Source organism: Homo sapiens, chromosome 14, assembly GCF_000001405.40.
Source record: "Homo sapiens chromosome 14, GRCh38.p14 Primary Assembly".
Lineage (NCBI taxonomy): Eukaryota > Metazoa > Chordata > Mammalia > Primates > Hominidae > Homo > Homo sapiens.
Window position 1 is genome coordinate 70,237,206 of NC_000014.9, and position 24,264 is coordinate 70,261,469.

The 24,264-nt window shown below is 40.6% G+C and overlaps 3 long non-coding RNA genes and 1 pseudogene across 9 annotated transcripts in view, besides 1 other annotated feature; 1 reads left to right on the plus strand and 3 right to left on the minus strand.

Moving 5' to 3' along the window:
- Window positions 1-1,106: 1,106 nt before the first annotated feature.
- On the minus strand, window positions 1,107-2,493 carry LOC124903338 (uncharacterized). Of its 2 annotated transcripts, none has more exons than XR_007064235.1 (2): window positions 2,323-2,493; window positions 1,107-1,457 (listed from the first exon to the last, which is right to left on the minus strand). It is a non-coding gene; the product is annotated as an uncharacterized LOC124903338 (long non-coding RNA). The 2 variants fall into 2 exon arrangements; XR_007064234.1 differs by having other exon boundaries at window positions 2,275-2,493.
- A 6,054-nt stretch (window positions 2,494-8,547) lies between these two features.
- ADAM21P1 (ADAM metallopeptidase domain 21 pseudogene 1) lies at window positions 8,548-10,596 on the minus strand (annotated as a pseudogene). Its single transcript, NR_003951.1, has one exon. The product of NR_003951.1 is annotated as an ADAM metallopeptidase domain 21 pseudogene 1 (transcript).
- The window catches only part of LOC101928046 (uncharacterized), a 60,419-nt gene continuing 53,768 nt past the window's right edge, over window positions 17,614-24,264 (plus strand). For 2 of the 4 annotated variants that reach the window (XR_943988.2, XR_943990.2), the window contains exon 1: window positions 18,427-18,984. This is a non-coding gene — a long non-coding RNA (uncharacterized LOC101928046). Of the gene's footprint in view, window positions 18,138-18,426; window positions 18,985-20,807; window positions 20,850-24,264 lie in introns of those variants that run through there. The other 2 variants (XR_007064236.1, XR_943989.1) reach the window with 2 other exon arrangements.
- Window positions 17,632-17,741: a silencer, noted in NCBI's record as "silent region_5886". NCBI's record gives its function as "represses an Ori minimal core promoter by ATAC-STARR-seq in GM12878 lymphoblastoid cells {active_cell/tissue: GM12878}" and the evidence as "EXISTENCE:reporter gene assay evidence [ECO:0000049][PMID:35858748]".
- On the minus strand, window positions 19,157-20,661 carry LOC105370552 (uncharacterized). Of its 2 annotated transcripts, none has more exons than XR_943992.1 (2): window positions 20,559-20,661; window positions 19,157-19,628 (listed from the first exon to the last, which is right to left on the minus strand). It is a non-coding gene; the product is annotated as an uncharacterized LOC105370552 (long non-coding RNA). The 2 variants fall into 2 exon arrangements; XR_943991.1 differs by having other exon boundaries at window positions 20,288-20,661.

Here is a 24,264-nt window from a genome sequence, read left to right on the forward strand (position 1 = left end):
AAATATTTGATATATGATACAAACAATATAATTCATTGCTACGTACCATTCCTGCACCCATACACTAAAGAGTGAATGAATCCTCTATTCTTACGCCAAGTTGCATGAGGTTCCATCCTTAAAGATCTTACAATCCATATGCCCCCAGTAGTGGTGCTGGCTTAAGCTCTATAGACAATATCATAACTAGAATATGTATATTTTCTTGTGTGAACTAATCACTGGCCCTCCCAGGATAAAAGGGGCACAAAGTAGTCAATGTCTCACTAATTCACTGTTTGGTTTCCTTGAAGAATTGTACCTTCCCAGAAACTCAGCCTTGATCTGTGTCACTGGCAAGTTGGACATTCATGGCAGAAGTGTCTTGATTAACTCCCTGGGCAAGTGGGAGTCCATGCCATTGAGCCCAATGTACCTGTATCTCTGCCACCATTGCCACCTGTTTGTGTGCCCCCTGGAGAACTCATATGCACAGATATCCTCTCAAGAGTGTGAAGACCCAAAATAGTGGTCAAAGCAGAAAGTTTTTATACTTTTAGAAAAAGAACAATAAATCTGTGAAGAAATGACAAGACAAAAGTGTAGAGAGCCAAAAGCCTTTGGGTAGTAACCAACTCAGCATTCCACTGGAGGCTATATGATCAAACAGCAAACTGTTTATCATGAATGCAGGATGTGGGCAGACTCACAGCTGCCAGAAGATATGCTGGGTGCAATCACTCCCTGGCGCCATGCTCCTTGAGGTTATCTGCTGGAACATCTGGAGACTACTGTTCAGAGAATGCAGTCATGCAGGCCTGCGCCGAGTCAAGCAGCCTACTGACAACCACCTCCTTCTCCCTATCTTCTTTTCTCAATAAATATGAAGGGAGCTAGAAACTCAAAGCCCTTGTTCACTAGAAGTAAGGAGCCCCCTGACCCCTTCAACCAAAAATACTCTTTTGTCTTTGTCTTTATTCCCGCGTTCATCCCCCTTTGTTCAGTCCAACAGGGATTGGGACCGTGACACAAAAGGATCTAAGCTAGGGACAGTGAATTCCAGGGAAGTCACTAGGAGATCTACTGGTGGGGAGTGTCAAGGAGGAGTTATAAAGCTAGTTGGGAGATAAGAGTTACTTTAGTTTATTTGTACAGGTCTACTGAAGCAACAATTTCCAATCCTGGGGATAGGGTTATTTTCTTGTCCCGGCACAGGGAAGGCATCTTTCTCCATGGAAGTTTTATGGCTTGCTATATGCAGGAAAAGACAGGTCAGATAGTCACTTCTGGAACTACAGTTTCCAAAGTACTTTGAGCTTGAAGTAATCAATACACTAATTTGACATATTTTAGAGCTGCAGGCATACTTTTAACTCCTTTATTTTCCCTGTCTGAAACTTCCCTAACAGTTTCAAATTAAAAGCTGAATTAGTATTTGTGGAGAGAAGAGTTGTATAAGTAGCTGAGTGGCAGGGGATCTGCAAAGGGAGAGAAGAACACAAATTAGAAGGGGAATTAATAAGCAGAAAAGAACAAATCTAAACACATTTACCCATATTGCATTCAACCAGTCTCCTATCCCTGGCAATGGGTCAGTCCAATTGAATGGTTTAGCCTCATTTATATGATGAACAGTGTTTATCTTGTGTTGCAAAAAGTTCAGATTAGATTCTATTTGTCCCTAGTGGTTTACATGTAAGCAGCGTTCCTTACCAATGATTGCTCAAGCTCCTCCTTCTTGGGCTGTCATTGTATCCAGGACATGGTGATTCTGAAGTACAACAGAGGCTAAACTGTTCACTTCTGATTGGAGTCTTCTCAGTGCTTGCATAGTAATACTGACTCCTGTTCTATTACTATGGAAACATTGAGAATTGCCCTTTCCCTCTCATAAGTTCCAAAGCCTGGGAAAATGGATCTCAGCATGGAAAGGAACTTAGAATTGTGACATATAAGTGGATTTTCTATAAAATCTCATGTAGCACACTTGTGTGGCACTACTTTATGAACAAAGGAGCCCAAGTTTATAATTAGGCTGGCATTGAAGGAGGAGTACCTGGTGACAAAGGCGTTAGGTATCTGAGTCCCCATCATTCTGACCATGTAAGTGGGAACCCTTCATAGACCTTGTCACCACACAAGATAAAAAGACCAGTGTGGTTCACAAATAATGTCAAAGTGAAATTTGTGACCCAACAGATTGGGCTTTGTTGTGCCTTGTCTTCTGTCATATTGGCATCTGTGTATCCATATGTGTCCCTGTCAGTCCACCTTCTATACAGGTGTCCAACTCACCAAAAGGAGAAGAAGTGTGGCGTTGTTTTCTTTTCATGGAAGCCATACCTTGTCATGCATCCGCCTCCGGATTTGACCCACCAGGCACTTGCATCAGCAGGAACGAAAATAAGTTCAGATAATTTTGCACAAACTAGATGCTGATATACCCAGCAATCAGATGGCTTAGTTCACGTGGCCAGGGTTTGGAAGACTGGAGCAAAGGGATGTCAGTTCTGTGCCCAAACTGTTCAGAAAACAGTAAGGGTTAATGACAATAAGACACAGTTTGAAAGAAAGTCTGTAGTGGAGGATCAGAGGGAGAATTGAATAGACTGAGACAGTCTCCAGTCAGCTTTTTCAATAGGTGCTCAAAGAACAAAGAAGACTTTGTGAAGAAAAGAAAAGGGTTTTGGGTTTGTTTGTTTGTTTGTTTGGGGTTTTTTTGAGGGAAGGTAGAGAGACCCAGTTCCTGTTATACTAACAATGTACACCCTGTCTTGGGCCCCAACACCGCAGAGAAGTCCCATGAGGACTGGGGAAACTACCATGTTCATTTACACATCTCTCATTGGTCCAGAGTTGTTTTCAGATGCATTAACTCCTTCCTGTTTCCAGCCTGCTCCATGAATGCACTGAGCACACCCCCTCCCCCATAAAGTAGAAAGCCTTTAGTGTGTAGATCTCCTGTACTACAGAAAACCTCAAGGTTCGGTCTAAGAGGATACAGGTGCGTACCACCAGCATCTTCTGTACCAGACTTTCCAGTCCCAAATACTTTTAATTTTACTCTCATTTCCCTAGGATTGTATTTTCCAAATAAACCATTTAGATTTATTCCTTGCTTCAGCATATGTTTTCTAAGGAACCTGGGTACAGTAGATGCTGAAAGCCCACCCTCCATCTTCTTGTCCCACTTGAGTTCACTTGCAGCCACAGTAGACAATCTCCATGCTCTGAGAGTTTACCACTTCAAGTGCTTATATCTCAGATATTCTTTTCCTTACAGCTTTCTCCTGAACCATGGAATATTAATCAAAGGTGTGTTTCACATGACTTCTCAGAAAGCCTACAGGGATGACTCAAGTAGTACACAGAGAAAACTTGTTCATTAGTCTGCCCTGTTTTGTGCTTCCCCAGAAAACTAACTCCACCTAAATCCTTGTCTCTGGGTCTGCTTTTTGGGCAATCCAAATTAAAACAGGAGGTAAGACTCTATGCTTCTTATAAAAAGGTTAATTCTACCCACCAATCCTGATATAATTAACTGATATAGCTCTAATTAACTCAACAAATATAAAATAACTATACATCTTTTCTTAAAATAAGAATATTGCAAAATGCACTGCTTCCTGTAAAAATTTACAAGTAAAATAAGGTGACTCTAACAAATTAACTTTAACATACAATACAGGATACCAATTTGCCAGCAAAGCACTGATAAAGGATTTATTGTATGAAGTGTAACAGGACAACAGGCTACCCATTTGGAAAAGTATACAATTAGATACCTATCTCATTCCTTATAGCAAAATAAATTCCACAATTAAGCATAAAAGCTGAAACCAACATAATCCCAGAAAAAATGGATTATTTCAATGTAATCTCAAGCAGAAATACAAAACTCAGCAAATATAACAGAACAATAGGCTGACAAATATTACTATAATCAACTTCAATGGTTTCTTTTATATATACTTTAAGTTCTGGGGGTACATGTGCAGAATGTGCAGTTTTCTTACATTGGTATACACGTGCCATAGTAGTTTGCTGCACCCATCAACCTGTCACCTACATTAGGTATTTCTCGCAATGAAATCCTTCCCCTAGCCCTCCATCACCCAACAGACCCAGTATGTGATGTTCCCCTCCCTGTGTCCAGGTGTTCTCGTTGTTCAACTCCCACTTGTGAGTGAGAACATGCAGTATTTTGTTTTCTGTTCCTGTGTTAGTTTGCTGAAAATGATGGTTTCCAGCTTCATCCATGTCCCTGCAAAGGACATGTACTCATCCTTTTTTATGGCTGCATAGTATTCCATGGTGTATATGTGCCACATTTTCTTTATGCACTCTATCATTGATGGACATTTGGGTTGGTTCCAAGTCTTTGCTTTTGTGAATAGTGCCACAAAAAACATACGTATGCATGTGCCTTTATACTAGAATGATTTATAATCCTTTGGGTGTATACCCTGTAATGGGATCGCTGGGTCAAATAGTATTTCTAGCTCTAGATCCTTGAGGAATCACCACACTGTCTTCCACAATGGTTGAACTAATTTACACTCCCACCAACAGTGTAAAAGCATTCCTGTTTCTCCACATCCTCTCCAGCATCTGTTGTTTCCTAACTTTTTAATGATCACCATTCTAACTGGCGTGAGATGGTATCTCATTGTGGTTTTGATTGCCATTTCTCTAATGACCACTGATGATGACAATTTTTTCATAAGTTTGTTGGCTGCATAAATGTCTTCTTTTGAGAACTGTCTGTTCATATACTTTGCCCACTTTTTGATTTTTTTGTGTGTAAATTTGTTTAAGTTATTTGTAGATTCTGGATATTAGCCCTTTGTCAGATGGATAGATTGCAAAAATTTTCACTCCTTCTGTAGGTTGCCTGTTCACTCTGATGACAGTTTCTTTTGCTGTGCAGAAGCTCTTTAGTTTAATTAGATCCCATTTGCCAATTTTGGCTTTTGTTGCCATTGCTTTTGGTGTTTTAGACATGAAGTGTTTGCCCTTGCCTATGTCCTGAATGATATGGCCTAGGTTTTTTTCTAGGATTTTTATGGTTTTAGGTCTTACATTTAAGTCTTTAATCCATCTTGAGTTGATTTTTGTGTAAGGTGTAAGGAAGGGGTCTAGTTTCAGTTTTCTGCAGATGGCTAGCCAGTTTTCCCAACACCATTTATTAAATGAGGAATCGTTTCCCCATTGCTTGTTTTTGTCAGATTTGTCGAAGATCAGATGGTTGTAGATGTGTGGTGCTATTTCTGAGGCCTCTCTTCTGTTCCATTGGTCTATATATCTGTTTTTGTACCAGTACCATGCTGTTTTGGTTACTGTAGCCTTGTAGTATACTTTGAAGTGAGGTAGCATGATGCCTCCAGCTTTGTTCTTTTTGCTCAGGATTGTCTATGCGGGCTCTTTTTTGGTTCCATGCGAAGTTTAAAGTAGTTTTCTCCACTTCTGTGAAGAAAGTCAGTGGTAGCTTGATGGGGATGGCATTGAATCTATAAATTACTTTGGGCAGTATGGCCATCTTCATGATATTTATTCTTCCTATCCATAAGCATGGAATGTTTTTCTATTTGTTTGTGTCCTCTCTTCTTTCCTTGAGGAGTGATTTGTAGTTCTCCTTAAGGAGGTCCTTCACATCCCTTTTAAGTTGTATTGCTAGGTATTTTATTATCTTAGTAGCAATTGTGAATGGCAGTTCACTCACGACTTGGCTCTCTGCTTGTCTGTTATTGGTGTATAGGAATGCTTGTGATTTTTGCACATTGATTTTGTATCCTGAGACTTCGCTGAAGTTGCTTATCAGCTTAAGGAGATTTTGGGCTGAGATGATGGGGTTTCTTAATATACAGTCATGTCATCGGCAGACAGAGAAAATTTGACTTCCTCTCTTCCTATTTGAATACCCCTTATTTTTTTCTCTTGCCTGATTGCCTTGGCCAGAACTTCCTATACTATGTTGAATAGGAGTGGTGAGAGAGGGCATCCTTGTCTTGTGCCGGTTTCCAAAGAGAATGCTTCCAGCTTTTGCCCATTCAGTATGATATTGGCTATGGGTTTGCCATAAATACCTCTTATTAATTTGAGATACATTCCATTGATACCTAGTTTATTGAGAGTTTTTAGCATGAAGGGTGTTGAATTTTGTCAAAGGCCTTTTCTGCATCTATTGAGATAATCATGTGATTTTTGTCATTGGTTCTGTTTATGTGATGGATTATGTTTATTGATTTGCATATGTTGAACCAGGCTTGCATCCCAGGTATGAAGCCAACTTGATCATGGTGGATAAGCTTTTTGATGTGCTGCTGGATTCGATTTGCCAGTATTTTATTGAGGATTTTTGCATCGATGTTCATCAGGGATATTGGCCTGAAATTTTCCTTTTTTGTTGTGTCTCTGCCAGGTTTTGGTATCAGGATGATGCTGGCCTCACAAAATGACTTAGGGAGGAGTCCCTCTTTTTCTATTGCTTGGAATAGTTTCCAGAAGGAATAGTGCCTGCTCCTCCTTGTACCTCTGGTAGAATTAGGCTGTGAATCCATCTGGTCCTGGACTTTTTTTGGTTGGTAGGCTATTAATTACTGCCTCAATTACAGAACTTGTTATTGGTCTATTCAAGGATTCAACTTCTTCCTCATTTAGACTTGGGAGGGTGTATATGGCCAGGAATTTATCCATTTCTTCTAGATTTTCTAGTTTATTTGCATAGAGATGTTTATAGTGTTCTCTGATAGCAGTTTGTGTTTCTGTGGGAATAAACCTTTCAAAAAAGAATCAATAAACTGGAGCAATTATCTTTTTTCTCCATACGGATGTGTACACTTACAACATGTGGCGCTTTCTCTGATTTAACCAGATTGTATTCTTGATTCACTCCTCCCTCCTTGTATGGCTCCAGTAGCTGTCCTCTGCTTCTTTTTGCTAGCACATTGTTGGACCCTCTCCATCTCTATTCCTAGAGGACATCAAATCATAAAGGGGTGACCACAAAGTAATGGGGCACACAAGTGGAACACTTACCATTTCATAAGGAATGTTTCTACGAAGATATAACATTTAACCTCTATTGAGAGAAAACAGGAGTTTTCCAGGGCAAGGGAGTAGGGGCAGGGTGGTAAACAGCATTTTGGGAATGGGGATTTCATGTACAAATATGCAGAGAATGACACAGCCAAATATATTGTAAACATAAAACAGGTAGAAGACACAAAGTTGGCAAGTGTAATAAAAAATGATATCCAAAAAGTTTTTTGACTCTATTTACAGAGTGCCATTCAGAAGTTAACTGATCAATAAAAAGGGTATCTGATTCACTCTGTTTTCAAGAGACAGGCTTTCCAAAAACACTGAGAATAGACTGAAGAGAAGATACAGTGGAGGACAAAAGACCAGCAAATTGCACCAGGTTCAAACAGCAGCATTTTAAATAAACACATTTTAAATATTCAAAGTTTAATTTTGAGCAAGAGCTCCAGTAGTTAAAAGAGAGGATCAGAATGACATCATCAAGGTATCAAAATATTATTTTTGCTTTTCATAATTAATTCATGTATTTAATACTCCATTCAAATTCATTGCTTCATTTAAGTATTTACTGTGTAGTAAGCACTGTGCACTGTTCAGGCTATTGAGGACATAATGGTGAGCAAAACAGATAAAACTACCCCACCCTCATGGAGATTATATTTTGGTATGCAAAGCAAATGCTCCAAAAGGATATCCAAACTGCCAGATTAAAACAAAGAGCTAGGAAACACACAGGGAGCAAGTCAAGAGCTTTTATCAGACAAACAACAATTTTTTATACTTTAAAAAATTCAGTTATTTCTCTCTTTTGGTAACCAAATAAACTCAAAGACTTGGGTGGGACAAATATTATTATGACCCCTACCCCCTTTTAGATTTTGAAGCAAAACATCAGAATATGTAAGTAATTTTCCCACATTGATAAATGTCAGTAGAGAGGTAAGCTTCACCCCTGGACACGCTGATGCAGAAACATCTCATGCCTTTCCCATAAGTCATCTCTAAGCATGAGAAACAACAAGGACTAAAGGGAGGGAAAGATGTAGCTTCAGTTGCTGCTTAAAACAATGAACAATAGATAGAAACATGTTAAGAATAACCTGCACTTAATGACAATGTTTGTGGTACTGACGTAAGGGAAGATCTTTGCAGCTTTCTGGAAATGGTCAAAAATGTGCTCAGTTTCAGGGATGTACTAACATTTCTGCTGCAAAGAGACTAAAGTGTAATAATTCATGGAATATTAAATTAGAGACATTTTCTTAACCTGATGAATGAGCCTTAGTTTCTTTGGGACCAGAACATTGTCGTAGATACATAAGAAGCCCAACAGTAAAGAGGAAAATCACAACAGACAAGAAGGAATCACAATCAATGGCAAAAAAAAAAACTCTTCTCTTTGCAGATGCTGGGCCACTGTCAACACTGCCCCCATAGCCTCTGTGCTGGCAGTAGGGCGGGGACCACCCCTAGCCACAGTGGCAGTGATGTTTGTTATTGCAGATCTCCTTCATATTGCAGGTCTCAGGAAGGCAGATGTGTGACAAGACAGACAGACTGACACTTCTTGTGGATGCAGATCTTTCCTGGGCCACACACAGTACCATCTTTCACTGCACCAATGTCAGATATGTGCATCCTTAAATGATAGTCAATACCCCAGCAGGTGACACCATTGATATGAGTGTGCTGCAAAGTAAAATGATCTTGGAGAAGAGGAATGTCTCTCACATTCTCACATTGAACTCTCCCACAAAAGACATCAGAGATATGACATTTTAGGTATGTTGTGCCATTTATACCACAGTGACCAAAACGGTTTCCCTGAGAGTTGATTTCTTTATAGCAATTCTGAGATGCACTTTTTGCATCTTTACCAAAAATCTCCCTGCAATGCTGGTCATGGTTATTACACCTCTTTTGATAGCAGTAGGAACTGTCACTACAGGGGATCCCGTCCTGCACATATCTATCTTCTGGACACTGAAGGGATGTTCCATTGCACCATTCTGGAAGGTCACATTCATTGACCTCTTGTCTACAGAGTTCCCCTGATGGCATGAATTTGCAGTCTTTGCAACAAAGCCCAAAAGCACAGGGAGCCCCAGGCCTTAGAGTGCAGTTCAATGGACAACAGGCATCTTGTTCACACTGCTGTACGGATCCACAGTCACACTGCTCTTCTCTTTCAACCACACCATTCCCACAGCGCTTTAGCATAAAGATTTCCCCCAATCTTGGAGGATTTTGCAGACATGATCCCTGGTTTAAGGTGGTCTTCATAAAATCAGCGTAACTGCAATTGGTGAATTTCTCTGCTGGCACTCTAAAAGTATTCATGATGCAACCTCTTTCCCCACAAAAACAGAATTCTTCATCATGCTGCATACCCAACGTATGACCTAACTCATGGGCCACAGTGTTGGCAAAAAGAGACCAGGTATCTCCTTGAAAATTATCAACTCCACAATCAATAGGTGGACGACATATTCCTGCAATGTAGGCTAGGCCAAGTATACTTATAAGTGAATTTTTTATGAACGTATGTGCAGCACCATGTTGTAGCTGGGAACGACTGATTTGTTTCCGTTGAGAGAAATCATTTAGGATCTGTTCTATGCTTGTCATTGGGAAAACATTTCCTTGATTCCAAATTTCAATTCCAATCAAAATTATGTAAGTACCTAACTGCTGATACATGGAATCCACTATGTTGACAACAAGAAATACATCCTCTTGCACCTTTGAGATGTTGCTTTGAGAGTAAATGAAGAAATCATGGTTCACCACAACAACGAGCTCCAGAAACCATGCATGAGTCCACCAGTCACCAGCAAATTTTGGTTCCAGAGCTGAGTTCTCAGCCTCTTCAAATTCCAACTGTTGGCGTGCTACTTCCTTCTCTGTTAAGCTACATCTCATAGCTGGGAATTGTGTCTCATTACTGTTTACTTTGTAAACCAGGTGTTCAAATGTGGCAGAGTGCCTGATGGGTTCAATTTCATGAGTGAGGCCGTTTATTTTTAATACTCCTCAAAAGCCCCCACAACAAGCACTGAACACAACCAGAGACTCAGGGGCACCCTCCACGTAACCATGATAGTAACAGTCATCTGGGATGAAGAGCTGATCCTCCAGGAGTGCACGCTCATCTGTGTAGGTGAACACTGGGAGGTGTCTAGAAACCAAGAGCTTCTTAACCCTCATATGAACAACATGTTTCTGGTCCCCAAACCGCAGACTATAGGAGAGCCATCCAGGAGCCTTTGCACTTCTGCCCCTGCTGATCACCTTCAAGGGGATCACCACTTCCAGGGAAGTGAAATGCTGGGAGGGCCCAGCCTGACAGTAGCCAGAAATAGACAAAAATACCCCAAGCCAGAGCAGCAGAAGAGTGACCCTGATGTACACTAGGGTCCCATCCACTGCCATTATGAAGCTGTCGTTATGGAGCCATCTGTCCAGAGCAGAAGAGGACAAGGTGTGAGGCACTGCTGGTCTGGCTTCTCCCTCTAAGCTGCTCAGGATGCAGGGCTGACCCTACGGATCTGTGTCCTGGCAGAGCAATGTTGGAAGTAAAAATAAAAAGATGGGTTGGAAAGGTGATAAGTAAGGAAATCAGGAGAGAAAAAGAATGGAGTGGTGAAAAACTGGTTGATGAATCAAGAAAATGCTTTGGATTTGCTTTTAGTAAATGAGGGTGGGGATTTAGGGGGTATAGAGGAGACAACATTGGCCACGTGGTGATAATAGTTGAAGTTGGAAGATGGGTACTTAAATAGTTATCTCAGTCTTTACAGGCAGTATGAAAATGTCCATAATAAATAGTAAAAGCAAAAGTAAAGAAACTTAAAAGTAGGGTGGCTCTATATCTCAATTTGTCCAAGATAGTATTAGTTTATGCCTGTTGCCCTTGCAATATCTATTGATAGTGTCTCCTTTGACTATCAAAACTGGAGACATCAAAAATAATCAAAATTCTGTGTCAAGTTGCATCAGTCTTATGATTTACTTTAGTTTCTTTATCTCAAAGTTATTTACTATTCCACATTGTATTCATCTTTACTTACAACTTTATTAGACTGCAAGATTCTTGACGGCATGGTTTATGATTTTCATTTATTTTAGTATCCTCTATAATGTCTTGTATAGTTCTGCTTACAATGAAAAATGAAAATGGGAGGAAGGGTGGTGAAGTGTTTTGCATTATAAATTAATGCTACTAAAATGTATTCATATTGTATTATAATTTTTAGAAAAGAAAAATAATTCTTGAAACACTGACATCCTTTAAGGGTATGGAGAACATAATGTTTTTCTCCCCAGTTACTGACAGGAGAGTCCCAAAGACAAAAGGAAAAGCTTTCAGAAGAGAAAATGAGAATCTGTGCAGTTTAAAGGTCTTCGGAAAAGGAACTCTTGTCTTATTAGGGCAAAACCATTGGAGAGTCTGGTATTTTAGGATCGCCAGGGAAGAGTCCCAATGTTTGCTCAAATATATTTACCAACAGTTTTTGAAAGTGGGGAATTTCTGCACCTGTCATACAATCTGGCTGGCAACGCTCATCCATTTCTTTTTCTATTTATTAAACAAGTCTTTATGTGTTTGGAGCATACATAGTGCAGGACATTGTGCTAGATATTAGAGAAAGAAAATCAAAATACAGAGCATTAAATAAATTATCAATTTAGTGCAGAAACTTGTGGCAGGAGCAAGAATAAGCTTTAGGAGGCCTATAATATTGTATTCAATATTTTATATATTTTGTGCCTTTTTTTTTTGCCGAGGAGAGAGTCCATATATTTCATCATAGTCTGAAATGACTGTCAAAAGTGAGGCTAATAAGCACTGAGCATGTGTAGAAACAAACAAACAGGTAATTGTAATATGATCAAAACCAGATTAATCTGAAGATAACAAAGTTTATGCTTCAGGGATCCTCATTGTACAGACCTCCATAAAGACCCTGAAAGGGGCTCCGCAATGGACTTTAAGAAACTCCTCAAATTATGAGTGATCAAAATTAGTCACTATACAAGAAAAATCAGAAATATTATAACTGAAAAACTCTGAAATATTATAATTCATACATAAAAGACTTAATAAAGGCTTTCTAAAATTTGACAATAGTAAATTTAATTATTTATCTCATTACCAATAACAAGCTATGAAGCTGAATTTTCTTTTCTAAACCATTAATAATACAAAACAAATTTTTATTAAACATACCAGGGAAAGGCAAATGCCTTTCAGTTCTTGCCACAGAAATTATAACAAAATAATTCTCTTAAGGGAGACAATTAAATAAGAAGCAATTTAAAAACTGTAGGGAAAAGGTATCATAAAAGTGAGTCAGGAAGTTGATTAATATAAATATGAAGGGATTAAATTTTTTGATGTTTATGGTGTTTTCAACCTTTTAATATTTATAATTTGTTGCAGCTTCTTTCTTATGCTAAATAAATCCTCATTTTCATACTTATTTTCTGCAATTGTAACTTGGTATTATTTTTCTTAAAGTGGGGCCCTCATCTTGTACGTGCATCAGGCCCAAAAACTTAATTTCACCTCTGACTGTGATCAACATATTGATGAAGGTAGGTGCCGTTTTTTATAAGAACAAAAAGGAAAAGCATTTAAATCAAGCTAATCTAAGAGGACTTACACAGAAGATATAAAAATGAACATGCCTGACCCAACACTAATCATCTCCTGGATTTTGAATCCATTTCTAATCAATGCTTTCTTTGCCCTGAGTCAAGTTTCCTTATACTCTCTTCTTATACCTTCTCTTGTGCTTTCTGGAGTCTTCCTTTAAACACAAAAGGGAAGAGACAGAGAGAGAGAGAGAGAGAGAACCAACTCCACCCTGAACCTCTTCCCAGAAAGCTCCCTACGTCTACTTATCTTATTAAACCTGAGCTTTAATAGAATTTACTGCTTGCCTAAAGGCCTCCTCTTGAGAAACCCCATCCTCAGAAGTCACATGCACCACAAGGACCAGAGTTCCTGTTCTCCACAGCCGACAACATCAACACCAAATCATTTATCCTGCAATATCTGACTACACTATTTTTTAGATGTCTCTTCAACCACCCTTATCACACTTGGACAAAATTCAAAGGCTTTGGACCCTGACTAATAAAATTATTCTCCACCAAAAATTCTACCCTCATCTTAAAGTAATATTAGCAAGTATATAGAAAACCCATCTGAAAACAAGACAGGGTTTTTTCAAGTTTTTTTTTAAACCTCTTCAATTTGTCTTAGTGTAATTCAGCCTACCCACTCATAGTCAAAATCTATACCTTGTCAACGCACAAAAAATTTCATATATCCTAAGCAATTTACCAACAATTTTAGTTCTCCCAGCTCTCCCCCTTACTTCTGCTATACCTATTTCTCAAACCCGAAGAGAACCCACTTTTGTCTTTCATTGTCTCCCATTTCACTCAATGTTCTTGTCTTCCAATCCATTCGAGCTCTGCTACTAGTTTCATCCCTTCAAGCACTGTATGCCAAAATCTTTAACTCTCTAAAGTCCTAATTATAACACAGATTGTGGGGGGTGGGGGTGGGGGATGGGCAGGAACTGCATTAATCCTTCACATGCTTTTTCCACTTCTACATCAAAGCTACCAATGCTACTCTGAAAAAAAAAAAAATCACAAACCAATGTGTTTGTGAAAGGTTTAAAAAGAGAATATACAAATCAGAACTGAAATGGCTTGTCCTGGATCCCCAGCCTAAGGAATAGAGATATAAAATTCAACAGATATGTCAAAACTTCCTATGCCATATTGCCCTTTTCTTTATTCTCCTGGGCATTGCATTCCTCGTTTATGTATCGTGTTCTGAGTTTCCTCAATGTTCTGAGTTTTCCTCATTTATGTATAGTGCCAGTAGCTGAAAATCCATTCTCATTGTCTTTCAATCACAGTAGAGTTAGTTAAACAAGTACCTTTCCTTTCTAATAAAAAGTATTTAAGGTTTTTTTCTTTTCTTGTCCTAGACTGGCTATGTGGATGCTGGAAGATGGGGAAAACTTGTTTCAAGCTGAACATTATCCTTGCCATTAGCTTGCCTAAAGAGGCTGGATTCATCTGGGCAGTTTTCACTGCTGCAAGTTAGGCACCTTATTTCGCAAGGTGCAAGTAGCGTGGAAGAGAAAAGCAAAGTTCATAGACAGAACTTCCAAGAACAAAGATCTCTGAATTGGGATGAAATTCTAACTGCCAGATTTGCTCCCTGTGTCTCTCTTGATATGTTTTCTACTTATTATGGAGTGACAGTTGTTGTGGATGGGAGGATTGAAAATGGGAAGAACTAATCAAAGATATAATGTTGTGGAAAGGACTGATAAGCTACACAAACCTGTGTCATATTATTCTTTTTCTTGGAGCTCAGCATGAGAGCAGGCAATAACAGGAGAATAACTTCAAAAAAATCTTTAAAACCAGACTCATTGTCTTCATTCCTAGGACTTACAGAGACCAAAGCTCCTGAAGTACCATCATTCTACCATGGATACTGTGAAGTGGTACCACCGTAAATCTATGTCCTCTAACGTCAGTGGACTGTCAAGTGAGCCAACAGTCCTCTTCTGCATGTTTGATAAACTCTTACTTTCCCCACAGCTATTTCGAATTCATCAAGACCCCTCTCTACCCATCTTCCCTCTTATTCCAATGCCCTAATGCATTGTTTTCCTATCTGTCTGTCACTAATACCTGACCCAGTAGAGAGTCATGGAAGTAATTCAGCTGGTTACAGCCTGCAGTTTTTGGGTTTTTTTAATTTTTTTTTTTTTGAGACGGAGTCTTGCTCTGTCGCCCAGGCTGGAGTGCAGTGGCGATCCTGGCTCACTGCAAGCTGGGCCTCCGGGGTTCACGCAATTCTCCTGCCTCAGCCACCTGAGTAGCTGGGACTACAGGTGCCCGCCACCATGCCCGGCTAATTTTTTTTTTTCAGCAGAGACGGGGTTTCACTGTGTTAGCCAGGATGATCTCGATCTCCTGACCTTGTGATCTGCCCGCCTCGGCCTACCAAAGTGCTGGGATTACAGGCATGAGCCACTGTGCCCGGCCGCCTGCAGTTTTTTTCCTTAAGGAAATAGAAGAGAAATATCAGAAGGCATCCCTAGAAGATTCTTAGCAACTCTTGCACACACAGTGCCAAAAATTGGGGTGTAAGTACGTTTAAGGCCACAATGTCACAATATAAAATGGATTTCTTTCTCTGGAATTTATATATATATATTCCAAATTCAAAGACAAAATGGTTTCTGGGCCTTTCACCATCTGAAACCACCTATATTTGCCTCTTCTTTACCTCACTCCCTCTCCAGTCTCAGTGGAAATGTGATCCTCCCCGATTCAGGTAGTAGCCCCTCATGGTTCCAGTCATCTCTCCCACATACTTGAGGACTGTTTCTATCAATTTTCCCCACACTCAACTGTATCTTCATCTTCTACTACTTTACCTATTCCTTACTGGCAATTGGGGTAACCACCTCATTCTGATTTTCCCAGGACTGTCCTGGTTTTAAAACTAAAAGTCCTGCACCCAGCAATCCCCTCAGTCCCAATCAAACTGAAACGAAACTTGATGAATGACTTACCATCAGAAGAAACAGTAGTTTCCATGGCCCTTTCCGTCTAGATGGTTTGTACCACCCTTTATCAATGAACAAAGGTGTGTAGCTGTGACCACAGAACAAAGAGAAACGTAAGCCCTTCCCCCTTTTGTCTCTCAGGTGACTAAATTGTAGATTTAGCTGCTTAGCAACGAGGATCTTTATCTTCTTAGAGAAATAATAATAGGCTCTCAAGAATATCTCGCTCTTATCTGACCATTTCTATACTTATTTCCAAATTCCATATGATTGGAATTGGGTTGTCTCCTCACCTCCAGTCTATGTCCCCTGACAGCATAGGTTTGTAATTTTGCTGGTGCCATTGCATTGGTCTAGACTGTCTAATCACTTTTCCCACTGAACTGAATTATAGTAACTTTCTAGGGCAAGATCAAATTCCACTTCCATTATCAAATCTTTCCTAAATAATCCAGAAAACATAAACATCCTATAACTCTCTTATAACTATAACATGCAACACATTTTTGTGTGACAAAATTTATGTCCTTGCTATTTTCTGTTTTATATGTGAGCTTTAGATGCTGGAGAGGATGTAGAGAAATAGGAACACTTTTACACTGTTGGTGGGAGTGTAAATTAGTTCAATCATTGTGGAAGACAGTGTGGTAACTCCTCAAGGACCTAGAAGCAGAAATACCATCTGACCCAGCAATCCAACTACTGGGTATATACCCAAAGGATTATAAATAATTCTACTATAAAGACACATACACACGGATGTTTATTGCAGCACTGTTCACAATAGCAAAGACTTGTAACCAACCCAAATGCCCATCAATGATAGACTGAATAAAGAAAATGTGGCACATATACACCATGGAATACTATGCAGCCATAAAAAAGGATGAGTTCATGTCCTTTGCAGGGACTCGGATGAAGCTGGAAACCATCGTTCTCAGCAAACTAACACAAGAACAGAAAAACAAACACTGCATGTTCTCACTCATAAGTGGGAGTTGAACAATGAGAACACATGGACACAGGAAGGGGAACGTCATACAACAGGACCTGTCAGGGGGTTGGGGGCTAGGGGAGGGATAGCATTAGGAGAAATACCTAACGTAGATGATGGGTTGATGGGTGCAGCAAACCACCATGGCACATGTATACCCATGTAACAAACCTGCACATTCTGCACATGTATCTCAGAACTTAAAGTATAATAATAAAATAAAATTTAAAAAATAAATAAAAATAAAAAATAAAAAACAATTGTAGCACAATGATTATAAAGACAAAGAAATAAAACTTGAGTTACTTCAATTCTGTCATTCTTTGTGATAAAATTTTTATTCGTGTTTAGAATTTTAGATTATAGACATATTTCAAAACTGGTAGAGTTGATACCGAAAAAATAAAGACATGGACAGTTTGAAATTTTTCATTTTTATTGTGAAATTAGATTCTTATGAATGTCTGCTTATCCTTTGTTTAAAGCTTTTCTTAACCGTTTTATTATCTTCAATCTTCATGTTAGCAAAACTTTTTAAGTTAAAATAAATAAAAAATTAATGGATAAATTATTTTCCTGCGAGCGCTCCTTCAAGCACAGGTATGTGAAGATCAATTTTGTTGAAGTCATGGACAAATTTGTGGAAGTTAAAACTCAAGAACAGAAACTGTAATGTTGTGATTTATTTATATGATAGGCCAATATAGAGAGGTGACAGCATGCTGGCAGCCTCACAGCCCTTGCTCTCGGTGCTTCCTCGGCCTTGGCGCCCACTCTGCCCACGCTTGAGGAGCCCTTCAGCCCACCACTGCACTGTGGTAGCCCCCTTCTGGGCTGGCCAAGGCCGGAGCCGGCTCGCTCAGCTTGCGGGGAGGTGTGGAGGGAGAGGCGCGGGCAGGAACCGGGGCTGTGCGCGGCGTTTGCCGGCCAGTGCGAGTTCCGGGTAGGCGTGGGCTCGGCAGGCCCCGCTGGCGGCCGGCCAGCCCACAAGCCCAGGGCAGTGAGGAGCTTAGCACCTGGGCCAGCAGCTGCTGTGCTCGATTTCTCACCGGGCCTTAGCTGCCTCTCCACGAGCAGGGTTTGGGACGGGCAGCTAGCCATGCCTGGCCGCCCGCCGCCCGCCGCCCGCCGCCCGCCGCCCGCCGCCCGCCGCCCGCCGCCCGCCGCCCGCCGCCCGCCGCCCGCCATGCCTGAGCTCCCGCCCCCTGCCCGCCCGCCATGCCTGAGCCCCCACCCCCTCCCCGCCCGCCATGCCTGAGCCCCCACCCCCTCCCCGCCACCCCCAGCCCACTGCTGTGGACTCCTGCGCCGCCCGAGCCTCCTCGACGAGCACCGCCCCCTGCTCCAGGGCGCCCAGTCCCATAGACCGCCCGAAGGCTGAGGACTGCTGGCGCATGGCGCGGGACTGGCAGGCAGCTCCACCTGCGGCCCCTGTGCGGGATCCACTGCGTGAAGCCAGCTGGGCTCCTGAGTATGGTGGGGACTTGAAGTATCTTTATGTCTAGGTAAGGGATTGTAAATACACCAGTCAGCACTCTGTATCTAGCTCAAGTTTTGTAAACACACCAATCAGCACCCTGTGTCTAGCTCAGGGTTTGTGAATGCACCAATGGACACTGCATCTAGCTAATCTAGTGGGGAGGTGGAGAACTTTTGTGTCTAGCTCAGGGATTGTAAAGCACCAATCAGCACCCTGTTAAAACAGACCAATCAGCTCTCTGTAAAATGGACCAATCAGCAGGATGTGGGTGGGACCAGATAAGAGAATAAAAGCAGGCTGCCTGAGCTGGCGGTGGCAATGCTTCCCTGTCTCCTTCTGTACTGTGGAAGCTTTGCTCTTTTACTCTGCAATAAATCTTGCTGCTGCTAACTGTTTGGGTCCACGCTACCTCTATAAGCTGTAACACTCACCATAAAGGTCTTACAGCTTCATTCCTGAAGCCAGTGAGACCACGAACCCAGCAGGAGGAACGAACAACTCCAGACGCGCTGCCTTAAGAGCTGTTAACACTCACCGCAAGGTCTGCAGCTTCACTCCTGAAGCCAGAGAGACCACGAACCCAGCAGGAGGAATGAACAACTCCAGATGCGCCGCCTTAAGAGCTGTAACGCTCACCGCGAAGGTCTGCAGCCTCACTCCTGAGCCAGCGAGACCACGAACCCACCAGAAGGAAGAAACTCCGAACACATCCGAACCTCGGAAGGAAGAAACTCCAAACACATCCAAACATCAGAAGGAACAAACTCTGCACACACCGCCTTTAAGAACTGTAACACTCACCACCAGGGTTCGCGGCTTCATTCTTGAAGTCAGTGAGACCAAGAAGCCACCAATTCCGGACACAATATGAAGTAAGTTTTCCTATGTCTTTTAAAAATATATATTAATATATTTAATAAGAATTTATTACCTTTTCACTACCCTATTTGGTACTATTCTTATTCATTTTACTTTTTATTTTTAAAAACTTTTGCAGTGGTATGATTGTATATGGAAAGGTCAATGAAAAAAATTCACTCTTCCTAATCTGAAATGGCATGTTTATTTTCATTTATTTATTTTTACTGACATGACCATATAAGGGTTAGTGAAAGAAAATGTTCACTACTTAAAGTTTCCTGGCCATTAATTATTTGTTTCATTTCATGATTATTCCTCAAAATAACTTTGTCAGGTAGAGGAAGAAAAGTTAAAACATAATCCGCTCTGTCAAACACACGAGATAGAACACTAAGGCTTGATCCAAAAATATGTGGAGCCTATTTCCAAGGCAGTTCAGTTAACTTTTTCCACTCAGCCATGTGGGTTCCCACCTCACCCTCCTCTCTTCTTGCTGCTCAGTCTTTCCATTGTCCTCCTCACTGCCTCACCCAGCTCCTAAGTGCCGTTTTAATATGATGGATCCCATGATAGTAAAAGTGACTCTGGGGTGAATTCATCAGAAAGGGTTGCACTGGAAACTGAATGAAGGACTCTGCATCACAAACCAGGGGACCTGGAAAGAACAGAAGAGGATGCTTTGTCAGGTGGTCACCTTTCATAGTAGAGTGCTGGGCTCAATTTCCTGTTGGGAGGACTCTGAATGGGTCTGACCTAGATGTTTCCACAAACTTTTCACAAGGGCAGCCCTGTGAGGCGGAAAGAGAAGAGAGAGCCAGGAGGATTATGAGGTGGGAGAAGAAAAGAAAGCTTGAACAAAATGCGCCATAAGAAAAGGAAGTGCCTTTTCAAAAATGCAATGAGACAAATTCCTCTTTTGCGAATGCTTTCTCATCCTGGGGGGTTAAGACGGGGTGATGGGGTGCTATATATCCAAATTGGAGCAAAATGACTCAGAAAAAGTAAGTGTTTCTGGATCAAGGATACTCATGGAAATTCAAAAAAAGAAAGGCAATAAATATGTCAATAAAGTATTCAAAATCACTACAATTTTAGAAATATATAAGTCAAATTGACGAAGATTGAAAATAAACTATCAAGTGTTCACATCATAGATAAGCACCTAAGTGTTTTAATTAGATATATAATAGTATACCCTTTGAGCGGAATTTTATCCAGTAATTTAAAATTTCTATGTTATCAAACATTTCAGGACGTAGAAAATAGATTCAAGTAAAAAAAACTACTAAACATTACGTTATCCCTTATGCTTACCAAAGTGACTGGAAAGATGTATTTTGAAGTAGAAAGAAAATCTCTATCCTCTTCTTTCACTCTCCCTTCTCGCTCTTCCCCCCACCCCCATACATTTCAATCCCAAGGAGGAGCGTCTATGTTTTGTCAACTTCTGGAATACTGTCTGGGCTACCGTTGGCAGTCATTGCGTATTAGAAAGGCATATTGTAACTACCCCTCTTGCTTCCTATCGTCCCCATGTGGTAGGATTGGCAAACTGAATCCAGGCCCACTTGGACTAAACACTTACTGGTTCACTTAATCTCTCCTTTGTGCTCATAATTGGTTAGGCCTCCTATACCCTGTCGTGAGTCAGAGAATGGACGATCCCAAGAAATGGAATTAGGCCTGGGGAGAGGTGGAGACTCTACTAAGTTTCTAGGCAACAGGTGCCTTGGCTACCCCTCAGGTATTTAAGGTCCAAGCTGTCTAAATCACAAAGGGAGGGGAGGACATCTATAAATCCAACCAATTGGCCGGGCACGGTGACTCAAGCCTGTAATTCCAGCACTTAGGGAGGCTGAGGCACGCGGATCACGAGGTCAGTAGATAGAGACCATCCTGGCCAACATGGTGAAACCCCGTCTCTACTAAAAATACAAAAATTAGCTGGGTGTGGCCGTGCGCGCCTGTAGTCCCAGCTACTCGGGAAGCTGAGGCAGGAGGATGGCGTGAACCCGGGAGGCCGAGCTTGTAGTGAGCCGAGATCGTGCCACTGTACTCCAGCCTGGGTGACAGAAAAAGACTGTCAAAAATGATAATAAATATATATATATATAAATAAAATCCAATCAACTGCTTCAAGGTAGGAAATAAAAGTTCAAGCCCTGGAGGCTTTTAGGGTGAGGAGACATTTTCTACTGAATCCTTTTGTAGCTAGACTTTGTTCAAAGGGCAATGAAAAATGATAGTTAAAAAAAAACTTTTTGTTTATCCTGGACCTATTTTTTCTTATTTTGATCCGAGCACCATGGCTTCTTCCACTCAGGTTTTTGCCTTGTATAAAGCTAAACCCTTTCCTGGCTTAGCAGTTGTCATATGGCATAAGCCCATCTGATAGGAGCACTGCATTCCTCCGTCCATAGTATTTTATTAAGAGAAAAACATGCACACAAAGAGAAGATGTTTCCTTGGAACTGTGTACCATGTGAGAAACACCGACACAAACTGCAATGCTAAAGTCTGTAAAATCTGTGCAAGTAAAAATCACCTATAGAGACGCCACTGAGGGCCGGGCAGTGTCTCAAGCCTGTAATCCCAGCACTTTGGGAGGCCGAGGTGGGTGGATCACCTGAGGTCAGGAGTTTATGACCAGCCTGGCAAACATGGAGAAATCCCGTCTCTACTAAAAATACAAAAACTAGCCGGGTGTGGTGGCGCGTGCCTGTAATCCCAGCTGCTCCGGAGGCTGAGGCAAGAAAATCACTTGAATCTGGGAGGCGGAGGTTGCAGTGAGTCGGGATCGTGCCACTGCACTCCAGCCTGGGTGACAGAGCAAGACTGTGTCGCAAAAGAAGAACGAAAAAGAAGCCACTTAAAATAAGAGGTTGAGGACACTTGTGGAATAGGAAGTAGGAATATGAATAGATCAATATATAGTACATAATAAGAGATGTCATAATATTAATACTAATATTGCTAATAGTAAAATAAACATTCTTAAAGTGTATTGGGCTTTGGATACTAAAATTTGATCACTGTCAGAAGACTGGTTACAGGTCAAACTAGTGGTGTTTTTCTGACTTCTCTTGAGTGGAGAAGGCTTTTCTAGGGCACAGGTCAGGTGGCTAATAACAGAGTAGGATGATTGGTGCAGGATCTGCTCAAGTGGAATGCTTAGTTTTGAATGTAAAAAGCAGAAACATCAATGATGTCAGCAAAGGCAAATTCTAGGAAGTATCAAAATATGAAAACTCAGAAAGCTACATTTGTGTTCAACTCTGGTCAATTTTTGGTTTATAATGAAAAAGACAAAGGTCAGACTCTTGAGTACAATCTAGATTCAAGTGGGGGCAAAAACAAGGAAATGGACAAAGTAATAGAGGGTCAAGGTAATTGCTTAGAACAGGAAATGCTAGAGATTCTTCTTAAAGGATCAAAGCCAGATCTATTCCTGGATAGATCAGTGTAGTTTAAAGCTCTGTGAAACAAACACCAGCTCTCTAATGGTCTTTCTAGTGTAGTTGTTTAAAAATAACAGAATAAATGATAAGAAAAAACAAAATTTGGAAAACTGGACTTCCATATTTGGCACTATGGCAGACAACATGTCCAGTTCCTAGCTCACGCAGCAAAATAATTCAAAATTCTACATGAATTTTTTTCACCCTCCCAATATTTTAATTCAATTTTAATATAAAATATTGGGAGGGTGAAAAAAATTATGTGCTATGATAAGGTAAGGGAAATTCTCGAAGACCAAAAATGGAATAAAAGCAGGAACCCAGAAAGGAAAGCGACCCTGAAGTTGGTACCTTCTCTGAGGCATCTGTCCCTCCCTGGTGAAATTGAGCTTATATTTTGATGGCTGCATAAAATGATGGGAACAGTAGGCAATGTCTCAGCTTTGCCAAGGAGGAGATGTTGTTAGGAGAGCCATAGGACAAAAACAGGGTAAATGAAAAGAAAATATAACCTACAGATGAAGATAACAAGGAAAACCACCTTTTACCTTTGATGGTGGGAGAAGAGGAGACAAATTGCCTGTGTTTCCCTACACGTATAAGCTAGACTTTGTGCCATTTAGGGGAATAAATTGATACCACTTATATGGCACCAAAAACTTTGAGCAATATCTATTTTGAAGGGATATTGAGTTGTGATATTTTCAAAGCATGGACGTAAAAACATGCAAACTCTCTCTGGAAAAATACATTTTCAACTTAGGCCTCATAAAATTCCCACGAGTTTTTGAATATTACAAAATACAGAAGGAAACAAAGTCCCATTGATAAGTCAACAATAAAAACAATAGCAGAATGAAACTTACAAATAATTCTGCTGCCCCTATTATCAGATAGAATATTATAAAAATATGTTTTATAATTTCAACAAGAGAGTATTGGAGGTTATTAGTAACAAACAATAACAATGGCTAGACAGTTTTTTTGAAAATCAAATAGAACTTGAATTGTACATATATAATCAATGTGTACATTTAAATAATATATAAATATATATACATTCAATATACATAGAAACAAAAAATGAAAATGTGTAATGGCAGATTATATACAACTAAAAACAAAATTAGTAAACTGACACATAGTTCTTCTTTTTTTCTTGAGACGGAGTCTCACGCTGTCGCCCAGGCTGAAGTGCATTGGCATGATCTCAGCTCACTGCAACCTCTGCCTCTCGGGTTCAAACGATTCTCATGCCTCAGCCTCCCGAGTAGCTGGGATTACAGTTGTGTGCCACCATGCCCAGCTAGTTTTTGTATTTTTAGTAGAGATGGGGTTTCATCATGTTGGCCAGGCTGGTCTCAAACTCCTGACCTCAAGTGATCCACTCGCCTTGGTCTCCCAAAGTGCTGAGATTACAGGTATGAGCCACCATGCCCGGCCCTGACACATAGTTCTAAGGAAATTATACAGTATAGAGAAAAAGCAGGCAAAGAGATAAATAACGCAAGATAGGTGAAAAATCCCTAGACATTAGAGTAAGATCTATCTTACATCTAATCAAAGTTTCAGCACAGAATTGACAAAGGCAATAATCCTAGATATGAAGTCTGAAAGTTTTCCAGATTGATGAGAGACAAGATCCTACAGATTTAAGGTTTCCAAACCCCAAAATGGATAAATTAAAGATCTTCTATACCCAAACAAATTATAGTGCACTACAGAAAAGCAAAGAAAAGAGGCTCGCAGGAAAGGAAGATTAGATAAATGTTAATTTTACAGCTGAATTCTCAACAACAATGGTACTGTCAAGACAGTAAAATCATACTTTCA